At 41.9% G+C, this 22,112-nt stretch overlaps 1 protein-coding gene, 1 long non-coding RNA gene and 1 other non-coding gene across 11 annotated transcripts, besides 4 other annotated features; 1 reads left to right on the forward strand and 2 right to left on the reverse strand.

The window, feature by feature from the left end:
* Positions 1-998: 998 nt before the first annotated feature.
* LOC124904817 (small nucleolar RNA U13) lies at positions 999-1,100 on the reverse strand. Its single transcript, XR_007067413.1, has one exon. It is a non-coding gene; the product is annotated as a small nucleolar RNA U13 (small nucleolar RNA).
* On the reverse strand, positions 7,208-8,863 carry S1PR1-DT (S1PR1 divergent transcript). Its single transcript, NR_104626.1, has 2 exons — positions 8,660-8,863; positions 7,208-8,216 (listed from the first exon to the last, which is right to left on the reverse strand). It is a non-coding gene; the product is annotated as a S1PR1 divergent transcript (long non-coding RNA).
* Positions 8,444-8,533: an enhancer, noted in NCBI's record as "active region_1395". NCBI's record gives its function as "activates an Ori minimal core promoter by ATAC-STARR-seq in GM12878 lymphoblastoid cells {active_cell/tissue: GM12878}" and the evidence as "EXISTENCE:reporter gene assay evidence [ECO:0000049][PMID:35858748]".
* Positions 9,234-14,648, forward strand: S1PR1 (sphingosine-1-phosphate receptor 1). Of its 9 annotated transcripts, none has more exons than NR_174350.1 (3): positions 9,234-9,326; positions 11,157-12,870; positions 14,363-14,648. NR_174350.1 is itself a non-coding variant. In NM_001320730.2 (2 exons), the coding sequence occupies exon 2, from the start codon at positions 11,320-11,322 to the stop codon at positions 12,466-12,468; it is 1,149 nt and encodes a 382-aa protein (NP_001307659.1). In that variant the 5' UTR covers positions 9,234-9,326; positions 11,157-11,319; the 3' UTR covers positions 12,469-13,853. The 9 variants fall into 9 exon arrangements, 2 of the variants coding, with proteins under 2 accessions (NP_001307659.1, NP_001391.2); NR_174348.1 differs by lacking the exon at positions 11,157-12,870 and adding an exon at positions 14,024-14,107; XR_007095678.1 differs by lacking the exon at positions 9,234-9,326 and adding an exon at positions 9,354-9,434 and having other exon boundaries at positions 11,157-14,107.
* Positions 11,167-11,216: an enhancer, noted in NCBI's record as "active region_1396". NCBI's record gives its function as "activates an Ori minimal core promoter by ATAC-STARR-seq in GM12878 lymphoblastoid cells {active_cell/tissue: GM12878}" and the evidence as "EXISTENCE:reporter gene assay evidence [ECO:0000049][PMID:35858748]".
* Positions 17,734-17,934: a silencer, noted in NCBI's record as "peak339 fragment used in MPRA reporter construct". NCBI's record gives its function as "represses an SCP1 promoter by STARR-seq MPRAs in K562 erythroleukemia cells {active_cell/tissue: K562}" and the evidence as "EXISTENCE:reporter gene assay evidence [ECO:0000049][PMID:32103011]".
* Positions 20,106-20,325: an enhancer, noted in NCBI's record as "active region_1397". NCBI's record gives its function as "activates an Ori minimal core promoter by ATAC-STARR-seq in GM12878 lymphoblastoid cells {active_cell/tissue: GM12878}" and the evidence as "EXISTENCE:reporter gene assay evidence [ECO:0000049][PMID:35858748]".

The raw sequence follows: 22,112 nt of genomic DNA on the forward strand, positions 1-22,112 counted from the left end.
TAAAAATATAAAAATTAACCAGGTGTGATGATGTGCACCTGTAGTCCCAGCTACTTGGGAGGCTGAGGCAGGAGAATTGCTTAAACCTGGGAGGCGGAGGTTGCAGTGAGCCGAGATCATGCCACTGCACTCCAGCCTGGGCAACAGAGTGAGACTCTGTGTCAAAAAAAAAAAAAAGAAGAAGATGGAAAAACAAGTGTGATGTGTTTATAATTATATATACTGAGTTAGTAAATATATTCTGAGAAGAATAGAACTTTTGTTTTAATTAGGTGTCAATGAGAATCAAATCCTCAAATTATAATTTGCATATGGTATTTTGGATGAATTTCCCCCAGACTAGCTCCTGGCTCAGTCACGTGACACCAGCCCTGTACTTTTGTATCATGGCAGCCATAGAGGGTAGTTGAAATAGTCCTATAAACCAAAAATACCTTCAACAACTCCAAAATCACTCCTACACAAGAGAAAATGAGACAGAGGGAACGTCCTAATGGAAGAAGACAGTGATCTGTGTCAGTCATAGCCAATTTTGGTTAAAATACCATGCTTTTAATATTTTACAAAAACATATAATCTTGGGGACATATTGCTGGGTTCCTTCCAGGATTTGGAAGTGTAGGACTCAAGTTTAAGCTACATTGGTTTCAAAGTTAATTTTGCCTCTAACAATAGCAATAAAGTTTTAGAAAACAAACTGTGTGTAAGTGGCTTGACAAACCAGAGAAAGTTGAGACCTAAGCCCATAGCAGGAGGATTGTAGAAGCAAACCAAATTCCCACTACAGATCCTCAAATAAGAGGACTTAGAAGCTCCAGGTATTTATGAAAATGGCAATAAATGCTTATCTGAAAACAAGAAGCCTGATTATAGGGTATCCACTATAGCAGTGAGAAAATATTTCACACTCACCCAACCACTTCTCTCTAGCCCTGTTGTAGTCATTGCCTTCATTATTTTACTTTCTGTTTATTTTCCTGTTTGATTTTTTTTCTTTATGTCAGATGGGTAATGTGCTGACATCATAACAAGGTTCAAGGATGGCATATCTCACACGTGCGTAAACACCCAGTGATCACGCTTATGAACTACAAAAGGATTCCTTTTTGATTTTTAAATAAAATTGTTTTAATTAAAATAAGCTGCCAAATATCCAGCCCTTCATCTCCAACCTGTACAATAGGATAAGTGTCGGTACGCTCATTCCAGGAGAAGACTGGAGGTTTCTTCTCTGAATGGGTTAAATCAGAGGGTCACTGGAGTCAGAGACACCTGATGGAGCTGAGTGTGTAGAGGGGGTTCCCATCATGGTGATTCAGTTCAAATCTAAATATCAAATGGTGAGGTGTTCCCTCCTTCACTCTCCCACTTTTCTTTCTTGGTTCACTCCGGAAAATGCTAGAAGTCAGACAAGAGATTTTAGAATTTCTGTCTGGCAAAACTGACCTGCCCAAAACTTGAGAACTCCAGATATTGACATTTGGCATACTCAACGAAAGTGTTTATCCTGATCATTTACCACCCCTCCATTGACAAGCCCCCACACAAAGTTTTAAATTAGCTTTCTGATTTGCCTCTATTTTAGCCTCTGTTTGAAATATAAATGGACGGCCAGAGATCATCTGACAATTGGGAAAGCCAATGGCACAAAGAACTGAGAGCAAAACAAATAGGAAAGTGTGACAACAAAGAAAATAGGAGAAAATGTCAACAACAAAAACAACAACAACACTCTGATATCCTCAGAGATAAGTAAAGATGTGGTATCCCTAACATAAGAACAGAGTTCTGTAAAAATGTAACATTCAGAAAAGAAAAAGAGAGCCCTTGGAAATTAAAGTATGAGAGTGAAAAGAGAGCTATTAACTGAAGGATTGAAAGTACAAAAAGGAAAATAAAATAGGAGGAAATTTAAAAATCAGGCTAGATAGATGGTCCACAATCTGAATAGTGGGATTTGCAAAAAGGGAAAATAGAAAAACTGGAGAGAAGATGAAGTCATTAAAGAAATAATTTCAGATAATTTTCAGAACTGCAAAGGACTTAGAAAATCAAGGTATATCATCATGTCACTCTGGAATACTGAAGAGACAGAGAAGTTTCTAAAAACATCCAGAGACAAAAAATAGTCAGCTGTGAAGTTTTGAAATCAGAATAGCTTTATGCTCTTTATCAGTAGCCCTAGAAATTAAAAGACAAAAGAGTAATGCTTTCAAAATTCTCAGGGGAAATGACTTACAACTTTTAACTTGATACCTAGTCAAAATATTATTCAAGTAAATAATAGAATATTTAAAATGTCAGACATGCAAGAATTCAGAAAGTTTATAATATAAGCATCCTTCTTCAAGTTAATTAATACTCCTTCAACATGGCAGAAAACCTATAGATATTGTTATAAGATTGATAATGAAGAAATGGAGGTATAAAACATGGGATTTCAAGATTTGCAAATGGCTACCAGAAGAAAATCAACAAGACTTCACAGTGACTGGAAAAATTGGTGAACCAGGGAACCTCGGAGGACTAATGCTCTTCTTTTCAAGTTTTGTACCATTTGATCTCTTTAAAATGATATGCACATATTATTTTGACTTTAAAATTTTATTGGAAAATTAAAAAGCAAAGTGAATAAAAAAATGGAAAGTGGGATGGTGAAAGCAATGATTGCACTTAAAGACAGTTAAAGACAAATGTGGTGCGGTCAAGTCAGCTTCATACCTGGGATGCAAGGCTGGTTCAGCATATGCAAATAGATAAACGTAATCCATCACATAGACAGAACCAATGACAAAAACCACATGATTATCTCAATTGATGCAGAGAAGGCCTTCAACAAAATTCAACACCTCTTCATGCTGAAAACTCTCAATAAACTAGGTTTTGATGGAATGTATCTCAAACTAATAAGAGATATTTGTGACAAACCCACAGCCAATATCATACTAAATGGGCAAAAGCTGGAAGCATTCCCTTTGAAAACCAGCACAAGACAAGGATGCCCTCTCTCACCACTCCTATTCAACATAGTATTAGAAGTTCTGGCCAGGGCAGTCAGGCAAGAGAAAGAAATAAAGGGTATTCAAACAGGAAAAGAGGAAATCAAATTGTCTCTGTTTGCAGATAACATGATTGTATATTTAGAAAATCCCACCATCTCAGCCCAAAATCTCCTTAAGCTGATAAGCAACTTCAGCAAAGTCTCAGGATACAAAATCAATGTGCAAAAATCACAAGCATTCCTATACACCAATAACAGACAGAGAGACAAATCATGAGTGAACTCCCATTCACAATTGCTACAAAGAGAATAAAATATATAGGAATACAGCTTACAAGGGATGTGAAGGACCTCTTCAAGGAGAACTACAAACCACTGCTCAAGGAAATAAAAGAAGACACAAACAAATGGAAAAGCATTCCATGCTCATGGATAGGAAGAATCAATATCATGAAAATAGCCATACTGCCCAAAGTAATTTGTAGATTCAATGCTATCCCCATCAAGCTATCATTGACTTTCTTCACAGAATTGCGAAAAACTACTTTAAATTTCATATGGAATCAAAAAAGAGCCCACATAGCCAAGACAATCCTAAGCAAAAAGAACAAAGCTGGAGGCATCATGCTACCTGACTTCAAACTATACTACAAGGCTACAGTAACCAAAACAGTATAGTACTGGTACCAAAACAGATATATAGACCAACGCAACAGAACAGAGGCCTCAGAAATAACACCACACATCTACAGCCATCTGATCTTTGACAAACCTGATAAAAACAAGAAAGGGAGAAAGGATTCCCTATTTAATAAATGGTGCTGGGAAAACTGGCTAGCCATATGCAGAACACTGAAACTGGACCCCTTCCTTACACCTTATACAAAAATTAACTCAAGATGGATTAAAGACCTAAACGTAAGACCTAAAACAAGAAAAATCCTAGAAGAAAACCTAGGCAATACCATTCAGGACATAGTCATGGGCAAATGCTTCATGTCTAAAACACCAAAAGCAATGGCAACAAAAGCCAAAATTGACAAATGGGATCTAATTAAACTAAAGAGCTTCTGCATAGCAAAAGAAACTATCATCAGAGTGAACAGGCAACCTATATAAGGGGAGAAAAATTTTGCAATCTATGCATCTGACAAAGGGTTAATATCCAGAATCTATAAAGAACTTAAACAAATTTACAAGAAAAAACCAAACAACCCTATCAAAAAGTGGGCAAAGGATATGAACAGACACTTCTCAAAAGACAACATTCATGCAGCCAACAAACATATGAAAAAACCTCATAATCACTGGTCATTAGAGAAATGCAAATCAAAACCGCAATGAGATACCATCTCATGCCAGTTAGAATGGTGATCATTAAAAAGTCAGGAAACAACAGATGCTGAAGAGGATGTGGAGAAATAGGAACGCTTTTACACTGTTGGTGGGAGTATAAATTAGTTCAACATTGTGGAAGACAGTGTGGCGATTCCTCAAGGATCTAGAACTAGAAATACCATTTGACCCAGCAATTCCCTTACTGGGTATATACCCAAAGGATTATAAATCATTCTACTATAAAGACACATGCACACATATGTTTATTGTGGCACTATTCACAATAGCAAAGACTTGGAACCAACCCAAATGTCCACCAATGATGGACTGGAAAAGGAAACTGTGGCACATATACACCATGGAATACTATGCAGGCATAATAAAGGATGAGTTCATGTCCTTTGCAGGGACATGGATGAAGCTGGAAATCATCATTCTCAGCAAACTAACACAACAACAGAAAACCAAACACTGCATGTTCTCACTCATAAGTGGGTATTGAACAATGAGAACACATGGACACAGGGAGGGGAACATCACACACTGGAGCCTGTTGGGGGTGGGGGGCTAGGGGAGAGATAGCATTAGGAGAAATACCTAATGTAGGTGACGGATTGACGGGTGCAGCAAACCACCATGGCACGTGTATACCTATGTAACAAACCTGCACATTCTGCACATGTGCCCCAGAACTTAAAGTAAAATAATAATAATAATAATAATAATAATAATAAAAGATGGAGGTGGTGGATGGGTGAAGCATTTTCTCTGTAGTGTAGGGAATTCTCACAGGTATGTAGCTCCTTAATCCTCACAATGAAAGAGGCAAATATCATTATTTCATTTTACAGATGAGGACACTGAGGTTCAAGGAAGTTAAAAGAACTTGCCTAAAGTCACATAGCTTAGAACTGGCAATATCAAGGCTGAACCTAAGTGTCTGTTCCAAGGCTCAGTCATGTTCCACTAATTTTGAATGTTGGCAAACGAGGAGAGAGAGATATTGGGACCTAGGATGAAGGGAAGAAAGAGTTTTTGGTAGAGAAAACACATAAACATTTATGTAAGTTGAAAGTAAAGAGTCCTCAGAAGCTAAGAACTGAAAGTACAAGGGAGAATAAGAATAATTGAGCCAAGTCTCAGAAAGTTTGGAGGAAGCAGCATGCTGACCTGGGCAAGAGTTTGCCTTGGAAAGGAGTAAAGTTGCTTTTATTTCTGAAACAGGTGGGAAGGAGGTAAGGGTGGGTAAAGTTGCTATTAAGCTGGAGCTTGGAGAGGAGGGAAATTGAGATGGTCATACTATTTCCTCCTTGAAATAAGAGGCTAGTTATTCTCCTGTGAATAGACAAGTAAGGGAAAGCCTGGATTTTTACCAGTGACTGGGTCAGGGGAGGGAAGAGGGGAGAAAAGGGAGTTGGAAAGTGACTGGAGCAATTAGGAAAGAGAGTAAGGCTCAGGCTTGTAATCCCAGCACTTTGAGAGTCCAAGGTGGGAGGACTGCTTGAGCGCAGGAGTTCAAGATCACCCTGGGCAACAAAGTGAGACTCCTGTCTATACAAAAAATAAAAATAATAATTATCAGGACATGGTGACTGGTGCCTGTAGTCCCAGCTGCTTGGGAGGCTGAAGTAGGCGGATCCTTTGAGGGCGGGAGATCAAGGCTGCAGTGAGCTATGATTTCGCCACTGCACTCCAGCCTGGATGACAGAGCAGAGCCAGACCCTGTCTCAGTTGAAAAAAAGAAAAAAAAAAAGGAAAGGGAAAAGAGTAGAGTTGCAATATTTAGCAGATAAAAAATATAGCTCATGGCTGGGCTCGGTGGCTCATGCTTGTAATCCCAGCACCTTGGGAGGCCAAGGCAGGTGGATCGCCTGAAGTCAGGAGTTCGAGACCAGCCTGGACAACATGGTGAAACCCCATCTCTACTAAAAATACAAAACTAGCTGGGTGTGGTGGTGCATGCCTGTAATCCCAGCTATTCAGGAGGCTGAGGTAGGAGAATTGCTTGAACCTGGGAGGCGGAGGTTGCGGTGAGCTGAGATCACGCCACTGGACTCCAGCCTGGGCAATAGAGTGAGATTCTGTCTCAAAAAAAAAAAAAAAAAAAAAAGATAGCTCACACAGTTACATTTGAATGGCACATTTATGACAAATTTTTGTTTAGTGTATGCTCCAAAGATTGTGTGGTATTTTATCTGTAAACTTTTAAAGAGAAACACTAAAGCATGTGTAAAGAACAACAAAGCCACTTTGAAATCAAAAATTGGAAATGGAGCAAACTTAAGGTAGGAATGTTGGGCTTGACTTCTAGGCAGCAGCAGACAGGGAGTTGTACTGGCAGTCAGGAGATAGCTTGAGAATGCAATTTTTAGGGCCTCCTTGGAGAGCAATGGGAAGAGACTTATATGGGAACTAGAGACTTGGAATTGGCCAGGACGCCATTGCTGGAAACATTTGCCTACTATCTAATTTTACCTAAGTTGATCATCTACAATTACATCTCATAGGTGTGTACTAAAGATGAATATTATTAAATAACAATCTGAAAGGTTTTTGGACTCTGTAAAACACTTTATCAATATTGAATGTTAAAAACCAGTGGTATTCACAAGAAAACAACTGATATCCCCAAGGAAATTCTTGAACCTGTTTGAGGTTTATCATGGTGGTCTGGAGTAGTGGTTAAGAGTCTGCAGCCTGTCCCACATTAAGCAAGCTGCTTAATATGTCTGGGAGTCAATTTCCTTGTTTGTAAAATTAGAATAATTATAGTGCCTAACTTGTCAGATTAAATGGATTAATATGTGTAACACTATGTGCAAATACTAAAAGTACAATGTTACATGAGATATCATAGGCAGACAATGAGAAGTTTCAGAAAACATTCATTAATATGCATATGTATACACTTTGTATGCTTACGTAGAAAATGAGTGGTTTTAAAAGGACATTCATTAGCATACTTTTATATGCATTTTGTAGACTTGTACAGTCAGAAATGCAGCAAATGTAAAACTTTAAATCTAGAAGTCTGTTTCCCTCTAGGAACATATATTTCAATTCCTTAACTATTTATTGACTGATAGCGTTTGAGCCACAAGGCAAGGCATTTGCAATATTTAGGTTTTGGAACCCAGCTCTGCCACTCACTAGCTGGGAAATCTACAAGTCACCTTAGTTGTCTGAATGACACTTCTCTCAACAATAAAATGGCCAGCAATGCTTACTTACTTCACAGAGCAGTAAGGTTAAATTAACCTAGCACATGCTTGATACAGACTAGGTGTGAAATTTCACTTTGATTCCTTTGGCTTTAAAGAATGCATAAATTAGTGTGGGTGGAGGCGGGAGAAGGGGGGGAATGCCAAGTCCCCCGTTTTGTTGTGCTGGGTAGACACAATATACCTCTTCCCCTTTAAGTGAAATAAGTCTTCAAATCCAATTAGGATCTACTCTGGAGTCTTAGAGGACCGTTATCTTGGTTTCCACATTATATGCACTGTACTGTTGTTGAAGCTGTGGGTATGTATTGGGTGCGTCGCTGTCGATGAATGCTTTAAAACAGCTGTGAATTAACTGTCACTTCTTTTTTTTTTTTTTTTGGCAAACTCACAAAATCCCAGAAGTCAGGGGTCTGTTGTTTGTTCATTCTGCCTCCTTCTGAGTCATTCAGGTACAGGGTGTGTCTGCCAATTGAAACTGCACAGCGGAGGAAGTTTTTGAGTTCACATCTGCCGGGATGGGAACGCAGTGCGACCAGGGACTGGGTGGAAACTTTTACAACAGTAATGCAAGGGCAGAAGCGTCCTGTCCTGAGCTTGTCACGCAGGCAGATCTGACCAAGTCCGCCTCTCAGCCTCACGTTCTTAAGTAGCATCTAAGCAAAAGAAAAGGGTGGGCAAAGTGCTAGTAATGAGATTTGAGGCCTCTGAGTCGACTCCCAAGCAGAATGTGAGAGAAGGGTGCCGGCTCCTGCTGGGCAGCTGCAGTTGCTCCGCAGCTCCTGGCCGAGAATCTCCCCCTTTGGAAATTCCTGAGCTGCCCAGGCGTTTTGAATCTCTCAGGACTCAGCAGCAGCCCACCCCCTCAACGACCTCTCCATTGGCCAGAATCTGGGACACACAGCCTGACTTTGTGCTCAGCTGAGGGAAACCCCTCGCCCAACACCAAAACCGGCGCTGGTTCATTTCTCTGTGCACTCTGGGAAAGCCACTGCCCCTCAGACCGCAGTTGCGAGTAGCACGAGGATCTGGGGTGGCGGGGGGAGTACAGGAACCTCCCGGTTCATTCTCCCTCCCGGGCTGCTTGTCTCCTCCGTACCTCTCGCAGCCCCTTCCCAGCCTCTCCTCCCCAGAGCGCCGCCGACACTCGCCGGGCCGCGGCTCAGGTTTTCTGCTGCTCGCGCGAAAGTGGCTCGGGGAGCTCCTGGCCACAAGCTCAGCACACCGATCCTCCTAGGGCTGCGGGGGGTGTGGGACCAGGGCGGTGCGCTACGAGACTCCGGGCCGTCCTCTGCCTCCTCAGACTTTTCGAGAGAAAAGTTTTCAAAGTCTCTCCACCTTTTTTTTTTTTCAGGGGCTCGGGAGAATCCTCTCCACAGCCAGGGATCAGCGTCTATCTGGGCGAGGGCAGTGATTTATACAGTAGAATCCAGGGGTTACCGGGCTCCGCCCCTTCTCTCTCTCTCTTTTTTTCTTTCATTTGTTGTTTGGGGAGGAGGGGTTCTTTTTTTTTTTTTTTTTTTTTTTTTTGCTTCTGCCCCAGATCTTTCCTGGACAGTGCGTCTCAGCAGTTCAGATCCGGGGGCCCCCAGCTGACAGAGGGCGTGGGGGGTTAAGGCATTAACCCCTCCCAGCCTCTTCCTGAAGAAACCACCCAGCCTTGGCGCGGCGCTGGGTGACTTCGCGTAGCAGGCAGGGAACTGGCCGCGGCGAGCGGGACTGGCCATTGGAGTGCTCCGCTGCGGAGGGAGGGGACCCCGACTCGAGTAAGTTTGCGAGAGCACTACGCAGTCAGTCGGGGGCAGCAGCAAGATGCGAAGCGAGCCGTACAGATCCCGGGCTCTCCGAACGCAACTTCGCCCTGCTTGAGCGAGGTAGGGGGCGGCGAATGGCGGGGGTCGCGGGCGCGGGGAGCCCGGTTGTGGTAGGGCTTAGGTGTCAGAAACGAATTTTTAAGTCGAACGAGGCAAACAAAAACTTAGAAAACATGCATCTCCGGGCGCTGAAAATTTGCATCTCTGGGCTACTAAGGAGCCCATCTCGATCAGATTGTTCTTGGGCACTTGTGATTTATGGAGTTCAGAAAAAAGGTTAATTCCCAACTGTGGAACCTACGGGTGTAGGGGCAGTGAAAATTGCAGTTGGTCGGAGGAATAGGAGGGAAGGCGTTAAATTTTGGAAATCCTATAGACAAAGAATATGGTGGGTGGTGTGGAGCGTGGGTAATGGCTTAAATTAGTACTGCCCAGGAGCAGGGTATAAAATTAGTTGGGGGAAAATGCGGAGCTTCTTGGCTTGAGCAGCCTCTGCTGTTCGCGGAGTTGCTGGGATTGTTCTCATCTCTATTACCTCATTTTATTGCATTGCTGCATTACCTTGAAATATTTAAGCAACTTAGAAGTAGACTTCTGCTGACCAGTGCCGTCTTAGAAAGTTTCTTTGTAACTTTCTAGTCCTAGGAGAGGAGTCAACGTGTTGGGGGACTGCAGTAAATAAAACTGCCCACGCAAATTTAGCAATGCACCAGGGAGCAGTTTAATGTGAGTTTCTGAAGAGTAGTTTTGCAATCGAAATTAGAAATGTGGTAGCATGTATTATGGCTGTCATGAGTAGTTTGATTTCTCTCTTTTGTGTATGTTTTGGCTAAACTAAACAAAGCAAAAAATATTTATGCAATCAACTAATGTACGAAACTTCTGGGATTTGCTGCAATCTGTTATGAATGGTTTTAACTGAATACCTTTAAATTTACTTGCCCTGGCTTGGGGTGGGGGGTGGGGTGGGGGGGCGCGGGGGGAGGCGGGGAGAATAAGAAGAAGAAAGAAAAGGCAGTCGCTTCACGGAGGCGCTAAGCTTTCCTGTTTACAGCAAGGCGGGGCGGGCCTGGCTGCCCACACCTCACTGCGCCCTCGGACCCTAAGCACACCTGCTCCTAGAGAGTTATTAATAGAGCCCCCAAATGGCTTACGCTTTCAAATGATTTTCCTGCAAATCTGATTTCTTGCATGGCACATGGCAATTAGGAGGTGGTGCTAGTATCTTTGAACTGGGGGGCTGGGGGTGGGCATGGGGGACAGAGGTGTGTGTCTTCGCCCTCAGACTGGCAGTTGAGTCTTTTCCGAGGAGAGACGTGGGCTGGTATTGAGCGTGCAGCTAAGCTGGTGACTGCTTCAGAGAATCTCATGGCTGGAAATCCGGGGGTGAGGGGGTGTGGGGTGGTGAGAGGGCAGGAGTGGAGTTAAAATGGGGTGTAGTTCTCTAGGTTTCCCATTCCTCCCACTCCTTGTTTTCCTTTTCATCATCTTTTTTTTTTTGTCAACCCACAGCCAACATCGTAATTCCCATTTCCCTTTGAGTGAATGTGGCCATAGAGTTTCTCCCTCTCTTTTTCTTCCCCCTCTTCCTTTTTTGAAAAAAGAAAAAAAAGGAAGAAAAAAGATAATTTGATTTTTAAAAAAAATCTCTCTCCCTGAGCTCTCCCCAAGTTTCTTTAAAACAAATCAACAACAACACAATTGGAGCAGTGCCTTAGCTAGAATGAATTATGCCAGTATGCTGTGGCTCTTTCCCTGACTCTCTCCTCTGACTTGTTTAAGGCTGCGGTTTCCGAGGCCCTCTCCAGCCAAGGAAAAGCTACACAAAAAGCCTGGATCACTCATCGAACCACCCCTGAAGCCAGTGAAGGCTCTCTCGCCTCGCCCTCTAGCGTTCGTCTGGAGTAGCGCCACCCCGGCTTCCTGGGGACACAGGGTTGGCACCATGGGGCCCACCAGCGTCCCGCTGGTCAAGGCCCACCGCAGCTCGGTCTCTGACTACGTCAACTATGATATCATCGTCCGGCATTACAACTACACGGGAAAGCTGAATATCAGCGCGGACAAGGAGAACAGCATTAAACTGACCTCGGTGGTGTTCATTCTCATCTGCTGCTTTATCATCCTGGAGAACATCTTTGTCTTGCTGACCATTTGGAAAACCAAGAAATTCCACCGACCCATGTACTATTTTATTGGCAATCTGGCCCTCTCAGACCTGTTGGCAGGAGTAGCCTACACAGCTAACCTGCTCTTGTCTGGGGCCACCACCTACAAGCTCACTCCCGCCCAGTGGTTTCTGCGGGAAGGGAGTATGTTTGTGGCCCTGTCAGCCTCCGTGTTCAGTCTCCTCGCCATCGCCATTGAGCGCTATATCACAATGCTGAAAATGAAACTCCACAACGGGAGCAATAACTTCCGCCTCTTCCTGCTAATCAGCGCCTGCTGGGTCATCTCCCTCATCCTGGGTGGCCTGCCTATCATGGGCTGGAACTGCATCAGTGCGCTGTCCAGCTGCTCCACCGTGCTGCCGCTCTACCACAAGCACTATATCCTCTTCTGCACCACGGTCTTCACTCTGCTTCTGCTCTCCATCGTCATTCTGTACTGCAGAATCTACTCCTTGGTCAGGACTCGGAGCCGCCGCCTGACGTTCCGCAAGAACATTTCCAAGGCCAGCCGCAGCTCTGAGAAGTCGCTGGCGCTGCTCAAGACCGTAATTATCGTCCTGAGCGTCTTCATCGCCTGCTGGGCACCGCTCTTCATCCTGCTCCTGCTGGATGTGGGCTGCAAGGTGAAGACCTGTGACATCCTCTTCAGAGCGGAGTACTTCCTGGTGTTAGCTGTGCTCAACTCCGGCACCAACCCCATCATTTACACTCTGACCAACAAGGAGATGCGTCGGGCCTTCATCCGGATCATGTCCTGCTGCAAGTGCCCGAGCGGAGACTCTGCTGGCAAATTCAAGCGACCCATCATCGCCGGCATGGAATTCAGCCGCAGCAAATCGGACAATTCCTCCCACCCCCAGAAAGACGAAGGGGACAACCCAGAGACCATTATGTCTTCTGGAAACGTCAACTCTTCTTCCTAGAACTGGAAGCTGTCCACCCACCGGAAGCGCTCTTTACTTGGTCGCTGGCCACCCCAGTGTTTGGAAAAAAATCTCTGGGCTTCGACTGCTGCCAGGGAGGAGCTGCTGCAAGCCAGAGGGAGGAAGGGGGAGAATACGAACAGCCTGGTGGTGTCGGGTGTTGGTGGGTAGAGTTAGTTCCTGTGAACAATGCACTGGGAAGGGTGGAGATCAGGTCCCGGCCTGGAATATATTTTCTACCCCCCTGGAGCTTTGATTTTGCACTGAGCCAAAGGTCTAGCATTGTCAAGCTCCTAAAGGGTTCATTTGGCCCCTCCTCAAAGACTAATGTCCCCATGTGAAAGCGTCTCTTTGTCTGGAGCTTTGAGGAGATGTTTTCCTTCACTTTAGTTTCAAACCCAAGTGAGTGTGTGCACTTCTGCTTCTTTAGGGATGCCCTGTACATCCCACACCCCACCCTCCCTTCCCTTCATACCCCTCCTCAACGTTCTTTTACTTTATACTTTAACTACCTGAGAGTTATCAGAGCTGGGGTTGTGGAATGATCGATCATCTATAGCAAATAGGCTATGTTGAGTACGTAGGCTGTGGGAAGATGAAGATGGTTTGGAGGTGTAAAACAATGTCCTTCGCTGAGGCCAAAGTTTCCATGTAAGCGGGATCCGTTTTTTGGAATTTGGTTGAAGTCACTTTGATTTCTTTAAAAAACATCTTTTCAATGAAATGTGTTACCATTTCATATCCATTGAAGCCGAAATCTGCATAAGGAAGCCCACTTTATCTAAATGATATTAGCCAGGATCCTTGGTGTCCTAGGAGAAACAGACAAGCAAAACAAAGTGAAAACCGAATGGATTAACTTTTGCAAACCAAGGGAGATTTCTTAGCAAATGAGTCTAACAAATATGACATCTGTCTTTGGCACTTTTGTTGATGTTTATTTCAGAATGTTGTGTGATTCATTTCAAGCAACAACATGGTTGTATTTTGTTGTGTTAAAAGTACTTTTCTTGATTTTTGAATGTATTTGTTTCAGCAGAAGTCATTTTATTGGATTTTTCTAACCCGTGTTAACACCATTGAATGTGTATTTCTTAAGAAAATACCACCCTCTTGTGCCCTTAAAAGCATTACTTTAACTGGTAGGGAACGCCAGAAACTTTTCAGTCCAGCTATTCATTAGATAGTAATTGAAGATATGTATAAATATTACAAAGAATAAAAATATATTACTGTCTCTTTAGTATGGTTTTCAGTGCAATTAAACCGAGAGATGTCTTGTTTTTTTAAAAAGAATAGTATTTAATAGGTTTCTGACTTTTGTGGATCATTTTGCACATAGCTTTATCAACTTTTAAACATTAATAAACTGATTTTTTTAAAGATCCCTTTGTGAAGAGCATTCTTAAAAATAATTATTGAGTCATCTACTGGATTGTGTAGCTCTTTGGAATCAAAGTGAAGGACAAATTTCTATTATTCTTTAAAGGATTTTTACCTTAACTAGGGTGTGAAAAAAGTGTGGTTTGTTTAGAAACCACTCTATCTTTTTCAGGAAGAGAAACTTCAATAAGTTAACACTGAAGAGTAGTAAAGAATGAGATAAAAACCACCAACCTTCTGAATACCACATTGGCTAGTAAGTAGAATTGTTTGAGTTTTAAACTGCATTTAAGCCAAATAAATTAAATGCAATAATTCTGTCATCAAATATGGGCTTTTAAAGAAATTATACACAAAAATGTGGTTGTAAATCTAGTTTAAATGATGAGACTCAATCATCATTCAAAACCCATCAAAAAAGCATACATTCTTGGCCTTTCACCAACATGTTGGGGAAGTGGGGATATGGATATGGGTATTAAATCATGTGTTTTTTTTTTTTTTTTTTCAGGACACTGTCTTGGCTTCTCCCAGCCTATCTTCTGAACCACATAGAAGTATACAGTATCAGTGAAGCAGCTAGCTGTAAAATGTGGGCTGAGTAGCATAACACTTTTATCTGAAAACCTTCAATTCATAGTATCTGAAAGCATTAATATTCTCAGTCATTAATTTTTCCAACTACAAAATGAAGGCACTTTGCAAGCATCACAGACTTATTGTAATAGTTAATTCTTGTTTTTGATTATTGTCATCTTTTGGGGGATTAAAGTGTTTTGGCATGTTGGGCTCTCTAATCTTTTCGCTACTTTCAGAATTTGTGCTTTCAAGTGTCATTGTATATGCACAGGACACAGTTGGGACATGAAGATAAACCTCACCTAATAGAGTAGATGTCATTTCTGGGTAAGGTTAACTGTGGGAAACAGAAATGTGTTCACTAAGGAAACCTTAGGTCACAACCTCCAGTTTCCTGAAGGAAATGCCAAAAATGCTCCAAAGACAAAAGGCTGGAAACAAACTGGAATGTCTCTCTCCATCTGTCTGCTAAGGCGGAAGGAATGATTTCATGTTACATTCACTTCCTAGACTTTCATTACAGAGTCAAGCATAATGGAAAAGTATGTCCATTTTGTGTTTCTGTGGAAGATAAAATGTTCATATTCTCCGACTTATCTTCATAAGCACAGTAGTGATTCATGATATGGGGAAAGATGGGATAAGGTGGCTGGCTTTGGGAGATGGGGAGCTCTTTGGTGACACTTTTCCCCCTGTGACCACATTATCCAGTGATTAGATGTACTTTCTTCCTGGAAACTCCAGACTGTGCATTTCATTCCAAGAAAGCTGGGTAGTCATGGACTGTGGTTTTCCTGGGCACATGTGTGGTAGAGCCCCAGATCAGACCAAGAAGCAAAGACATAAGAAGAAGGAATCCTTGGTTGTCTCCCAACATGAATATCTGGTTTTAATTCAGTGTATTCTCAGAAGTAAGAATGAGAAAAAAATCTTAGTAATTATATGTTTGTACTAAAAAATACACATATAAGGCTTTGATTTTAAAATTGTAGTGTTTTTCAAGAGGAGTGAAACAGATCCTGGACAATACTTGACATATTCTTGTAAAAAGTTCAATTGACTCAAAATAGTCAGGAAAGTTATGAAGTAACATCATATAATACTTTATCCCCAACAATATTAAATGTGATTACAATTTTACAGAATATTCAAATCAAAATGTTATATAAGACAAATTATTATTCTTGCTTTTACATCTCCTTAGAAGGAGAAACATTCAATTGTTTTAAAAATGTTCTATTTATTTTTCAGAAATGAGGTGTTGCCTTCTTGCCCAGGCTAGTATGCAGTGGCACAATCATAGCTCACTGCAGCCTTGAATTCTTGGGCTCAAGTGATCTTCCTGCCCCAAGCCTCCCAAGTAGCTGGGACCACAGGCACGTGCCACCATGCCTGGCTGATTTTTTTTTTTTTTTAATGTTTTGTAGAGACAGGATCTCAGTATGTTGCGCAGGCTGGTCTTTAATTCCTGGGCTCAAGTGATCCTCCCATAGATTTGTCTGTGTTTTCTCTAAATAGGTTATAAATACCTTGAGGGAGGAATCACAAATAACTAAAAGAAACTTTTGTAGAGACTATCAGAGTATTATTTCCTTGTGGACACAGTAAATGTATGATGATGAGAAATCATAATAAACTACAACATTTTCTCCAACCTTCCTTCCTGCTCTTTTGATGTGTACTTCACGTGGTCCAAGAAAAGGGACTCAAAATACTTTTTAACATACACCATTGCCTTCACTGCAATACTAAGTGGAACTAGAGTTGTCTCTCAGAACATTCAAGCAAGCAAGGTTTACTTGAATAACTAAAGGCCTTATATGGATTATCTATAAAGAGGATTTTAAACCGGTGGTTTAAAAAGCTGGGAGAGATAGGAGGAAGAGCATAGTGAGGGGTTAGACCTGCATTTATTTCAGTCTTTCACAATCTTTGACAAGAACCAGGACCCAGAGTAGTTTGGGTTCATGTTGAATATATCTCTCCTAATACATCCGATCTCTTGTTCCCTACACTTTCTTCTTGGATTCAGACTCTCAAGTAATTTCTGTTTTTCCCGTGCTCTCTTTTTTATCCCTTTGAGGACTAAAGGATTAAAAAATTAGACTTAGCTCTGGTTATAGTCATTAGCAAGAGCCAAGTGTGGACTGTGGACTTGAGTGAACAGGAATTGCTACATTTTATGTAATCCAACCTTGATATATGAAGTATCTTCATATATCCAACCAGAAGCTTCCATATCAGTAATGGATAAATACACCATGGTAAATTAATACAATGGAATATTATTCAGCAACAAAAAAGGACCTACTACTAATCTTGCAACCGTTTTCATGAATTTTAAACCTCTTATGCAACCACAAAAGAGAACATACGTCATGATTTCCTTTATGTAAAAGTTCCAGAATAGGCAAAACTAATATATGGAGGTATAAATCTGCACAGTGGTTGCCTGGGGTAAGAGGATAAACTGGAAAGGAACACGAGGGAACTTTCTAGGTTGTTAGCAAAGCTCTTTATCTTAATTTTTAGGACCTTGTTCACTCAGATGTGTATATTTGTCTAAACTTATGTAATCATATTCTTAAGACCAGTGAAATTTAAAAATATCAATATGCTAGACTTTCACTTCTGAGTATAAGGACTATATGAGACTTTCTCTGTGAAATTGTGGGAAGGTTCCATGAAGTTCAGTAGAAAGTGGCAGCCGTGCACAGTGGCTCACGCCTGTAGTCCCAGCACTTTGGGAGGCCGAAGCAGGAGGATAGCTTTGAGCTCAGGAGTTCAAGATCAGCCTGGGCAACATGGCAACACCCGTTTCTACAAAAAATACAAAAAAAATTAGCTGAGCATGATGGCTCACACCTGTAGCCCCAGCTATTTGGATGGCTAAGTCTGGAGAATCACTTGAGTCCAGGAAGTGGAGGTTGCAGTGAGCCGAGATCCGGCCACTGCATTCCAACTCCAGCCTGGGTGACAGAGTGAGATCCTGTCTCAAAAAAAAAAAAAAAAAAAAAAAAAAGAATGTGGAAAAGGTTCCAAAGTGTTTCATAAAAGGGAAATACGCTTTTTAAGTATTATCCCATGACCCAGAAATAAAACTTTAGAATGCTAAATAATTGTGACATGATGATACTCTTTGCTTCCATAGGATGAGAATTTGGCTTAGTATTGGTATTTGTAATCCCTGAAGAATTTCTGTGTCTTGAAAGAGTCTAGAGATGTAATGAAACTGTCACAATAAAAGTTTATTGACATTTGGATTTCAGTTTTAGGAATATATGATGGGTTGTAAATAGCCTTATGAAGAATGGACCTTGTATACATTGCAAGGATATGTAAACATATTAGTACTGGAGACATACAAATTGGAGTGTGCCAATTTCTTATCATGGCCACCTGACCAAACCTATAAAAGGCATTCATTCAGATAATAACACTCGCCCTGGGTGTAAGCACTGCATTGTTAGAAGAGATAGCAGAGCACAAAGGATATGGAAGACAAGCTTATGTTCCTGTGGATCTATTTTTTAATAATTTCAGCTTTTATATTAGATTCAAGGGGAACATGTGCAGGTTTGTTACATAGGCATATTGCTGTGATGTTGAGGTTTGGGGTGTGAATGATCCCATCACTGTGGTAGTGAGCATAGTACCCAACAACTAGTTTATTAGCCATTGTCCCCCTCCCTCTCTCTCCCTTCTAGTAGACACCGGTGTCTATTGTTCCCTTATTTATTTATTTTGGAGGGTCTCACTCTGTTGCCCATGCTGGAGGGGAGTGGTGTGACCATAGCTCACTGCAACCTGGAACTTCTAGGCTCAAGCAATCCTCCCGTCTCAGCTTCCAGAGTAGCTGGGACTATAGGTGTGTGCCACCACACCTGGCTAATTATTTATTTTTGTAGAGACAGGGTCTCACTTTATTGCCTAGGCTGTTGCCACACTCCTTACCTCAAGCAATCTTTCCACCTTGGTTTTCCAAAGTGCTAGAATTACAGGCGTGAGCCATCATGACCAGCCTGTTTCCATCTCTATGTCCACGTGTACCCATCCTGTGAGTTTTATAAGCTTGCAGCCAGACACATTGTTACCTGCATTCCCCTGTCTGAGGGGTCTTTCTTTCAGCCATCTCTGGGAGTAACTGGACAGAGAAGAAATGCCTCAGGTGCTGCACTGCTCCTTGGACAGACTGATTAGATACAAAGCAGAAATAGAAACAGGGAAGAGGGGGCATGGTTACCTCAGCTAACAAGGAGCAGGGAGACGTAGGAAATTGTTTATCCATTTCCCCAGAGCTCTACTACTATTATTACTCCACTTTTCTGCTGCTTTGTTGATACCAGGGCAGAAAGAAAAACCTTGGAAAAAGTTACTGGTGTGGGTCATGCTTCCTACTCCCATTCCTCTTGATAGGTCGGCAAACTTACCCACTCATCCACTCAACAAGAATGCTTGCCCTGTGCTCTGTGCTGTGGATCTAGGGGCAAATATAAACAGAGGTTCTGCCTTCCTAGAGCTCACAGGATTCATTCCTTCAGCTCTGGCACTCCTGTGGCTCCCTCTCTTTGGGGTCCAGGGACCTTGATATGGCAAGACAAAATTCTTTCTTTTTTTTCCTTTTTTGAGACGGAGTCTCACTCTGTCGCTCAGGCTGGAGTGCAGTGATGCGATCTCGGCTCACTGCAACTTCTGCCTCTCAGGTTCAAGCGATTTTCCTGCCTCAGCCTCATGAGTAGCTGAGATTACAGGCGTGTGCCACTACGCCAGGCTAATTTTTCTGTTTTTAGTAGAGACGGGGTTTCACCACGTTGGCCAGGCTGGTCTCGAACTCCTGGGCTCAAGCGACCCACCTGCCTCGGCCTCTCAAAGTGCTGGGATTATAGACGTGCATCACGGCACCCAGCCAAGAAACAGTTCTTTTTTTCCCATGAGTTTGTTCATTGTTGTACACTTCCTCTAATATATTGAGTTCTTTAGCAGTCTAAAATAATTTCATTTAACAAATACAATTAATATTGGCAGCTTTTCATCATTGGCTTTTATTTAATTTATATCTCTAAATTACTTAAAATTAAATAATGAAGAATAAACTCATATTTGGAATGGAGAGAAGTTCCTTGTGTTATTGGGTGGTGTTGTAAATATCAGTATTTGTATTCTATTTTTCAGCATCTAGTCCCCATGTGATCAAGAAGCAACTCCGTAAAATAAAAGCATTCAACATTGTCTTCAGTTTCTATCTCTCCTTAGTTTGTGTTTTTCTTCCTAGATCCCTATTGTGAACTGTGCTAGGTGGAGCTGCTTGGTTTATAATGTGCAGATGAAGTGTACGTTTGAATAAGTCATAGGTGGTGTCCTTATTCAACTTGGATGAAAAGGAAAGGAGAGAAAAATTCACAACTCAAGAGGATAAGCAGACTTATCTACTAGTGAGCCATTGAAAGTCATGTAGAGGACTTGAGAGAGCAGCCTAGGTAGGTCGTTTGTGTGCTGTATGTTCAGTGATTGCTTGAGGCCAGGGAGCTGGGGATAACTCCTTGTGCAGCCCAAGAACTCTGCACTCATCTTATACACCAGCTCTACTGAATCCAAGTTGACCTGCTCACATTTGTGTGCCATTTCTATCAGGAAGTCTCTTGAGAATGCCAATAGCTCAGATACCTGCTCGCCATTACCAGATCTACCCCTCAAAGCATAATGTCTGCTGGTGGGAGGATGAGTAGCTTCAGTGTTTTGTACAAAGGAGAGTATATTTATTTCTAATTTCAGAGTTTCTCTTGCTCCTGTCTAGACACTTCAGAGAAAAACAAATTCAGGTCACCAGTAAAGTTATGTTCTATAATAAGAGAAGACTTGTGCTAAATCACTTGTAAAGACATTAACTATCATCTGCCTGAAAAGTCTTCTCTCACCAAGCTTCTGCAGATCTTTTGAGGTACCAGAAATAGTGGTTAGTTCTCACATGCTGTTCTGCTTCAGCGAGCTTCATGTGGCCACCTGCAGAAATAGTTCTTGGTTTCTCTTCCTTGTCTAGATGCTGGTCAAGGCAGCGTTTAGAAAAACACAGATTTTCATATTCCCATTCACACGTGCAAAGTGAATTAGGGTACCAAAGAATTACCTAGATTATTCAATCTGTAAAATGCTTTGCCTCAATTGACTGAATATTTTATATCAACACTTTTTCCAGCTACATATTTATACTATAATAGGAACCTATTTTTACTATATATACTATTTATACTATAAAAGTAGGAGTTGCAGAATCATAAGAAATTTAGGGCCGGGTGCAGTGGCTCACACCTGTAATCCCAGCACTTTGGGAGGCCGAGATGAGCAGATCACGAGGTCAGCGGTTCGAGACTAGCCTGACCAACTTGGTGAAAACTCATCTTTACTAAAAATACAAAAATTAGCCAGGGGTGGTGGTATGTGCCTGAAATCCCAGCTACTTGGGAGGCTGAGGCAAGAGAATCACTTGAACCCGGGAGGTGGAGGTTGCAGTGAGCCGAGATTGTGCCACTGCACGCCAGCCTGGGCGACAGAGCAAGACTCCATCTCAAAAAAAAAAAAAAAAAAAAGAAATTTAGAAGACACAACCACAAGAGCTTTCTTTCATGTATTTATTAAGGAGACAGGGTCTTGCTCTGTCACCCAGTCTGGAGTACAGTGTCGTGATCCTAGCTCACTGCAGCCTCAAACTAAGCGATCCTCTGGCCTCAGTCTCCTGTGTAGCTGGGACTATAAGGTGCATGCCATGTTGGCTACTTTTTTTTTTTTTTTCCAGTAGAGATGGTTTTGGGGACAGGGGTCTCACCTTGTTGTCCAGACTGGTCTTGAACTGCTGGCTTCAAGCGATCCTCCTGCCTCGCCGCCTAAAATGCTGGGATTACAGGCATGAGCCACCGTGCCCAGCCTTGGACCTTCTAATTGTAAAGAAGCAAAAAGGCCCATATAATATACATAATATACACCATAATATATACATAATATACATCATCTCACTTTATATATCCACTGTATTAATTTTTCTGTTAAAAAAACTATGCTCGTTTAGTGTTTTATGTTGTTTTTTCAAAAAATAGTGATTTTGAATTGTGGGCCTAATTAGCGAAAATTGAAATGTATTAAAATAATATAAACATCTGTAAGGGATTTTGTATCAAATGGAGTCTGCTCTCAGTTCTTTTTTTTTAACTTTTATTATTTTATTTTTAATACAGACAGGGTCTCACTATGTTTTTCAGGCTGGTCTCGAACTCCTGAGCTCAAGCAATACTCCTGCCTAGGCATCCCAAGTGCTAGGATTACAGGCATGAGCCACCATGACCAGCCTCTACTCTCAGTTCATTTTCTAAGAAATTTGATGCAAGCCAGTATTGTTGCTGAACTTCATACCAGCGTGAAGAATATCTGGATTGCAGTGTTCTTTCCTTAAAGGGGTACTGTAGGCACAAGAGTTGTGCCGAGATTTATGTGGTCTTCAGAGATGGAGAAGCGTTTGATTCCTAGAATTATTTGGCATCTTTCTACACTCATCTGGGTTTTCTCTTAGATTTATAAAAAGGCCAGTGTTGGGCATTCTGACAAAGTCTAGGTTAAACGCTAATCAAGGCACTAGAGTATATATTTGAAGTTTGTGTGTTAACACCTATGTGTTCGGGGCAACAAACTACTAG

The sequence above is a fragment of the Homo sapiens genome, chromosome 1 (assembly GCF_000001405.40).
Source record: "Homo sapiens chromosome 1, GRCh38.p14 Primary Assembly".
NCBI lineage: Eukaryota > Metazoa > Chordata > Mammalia > Primates > Hominidae > Homo > Homo sapiens.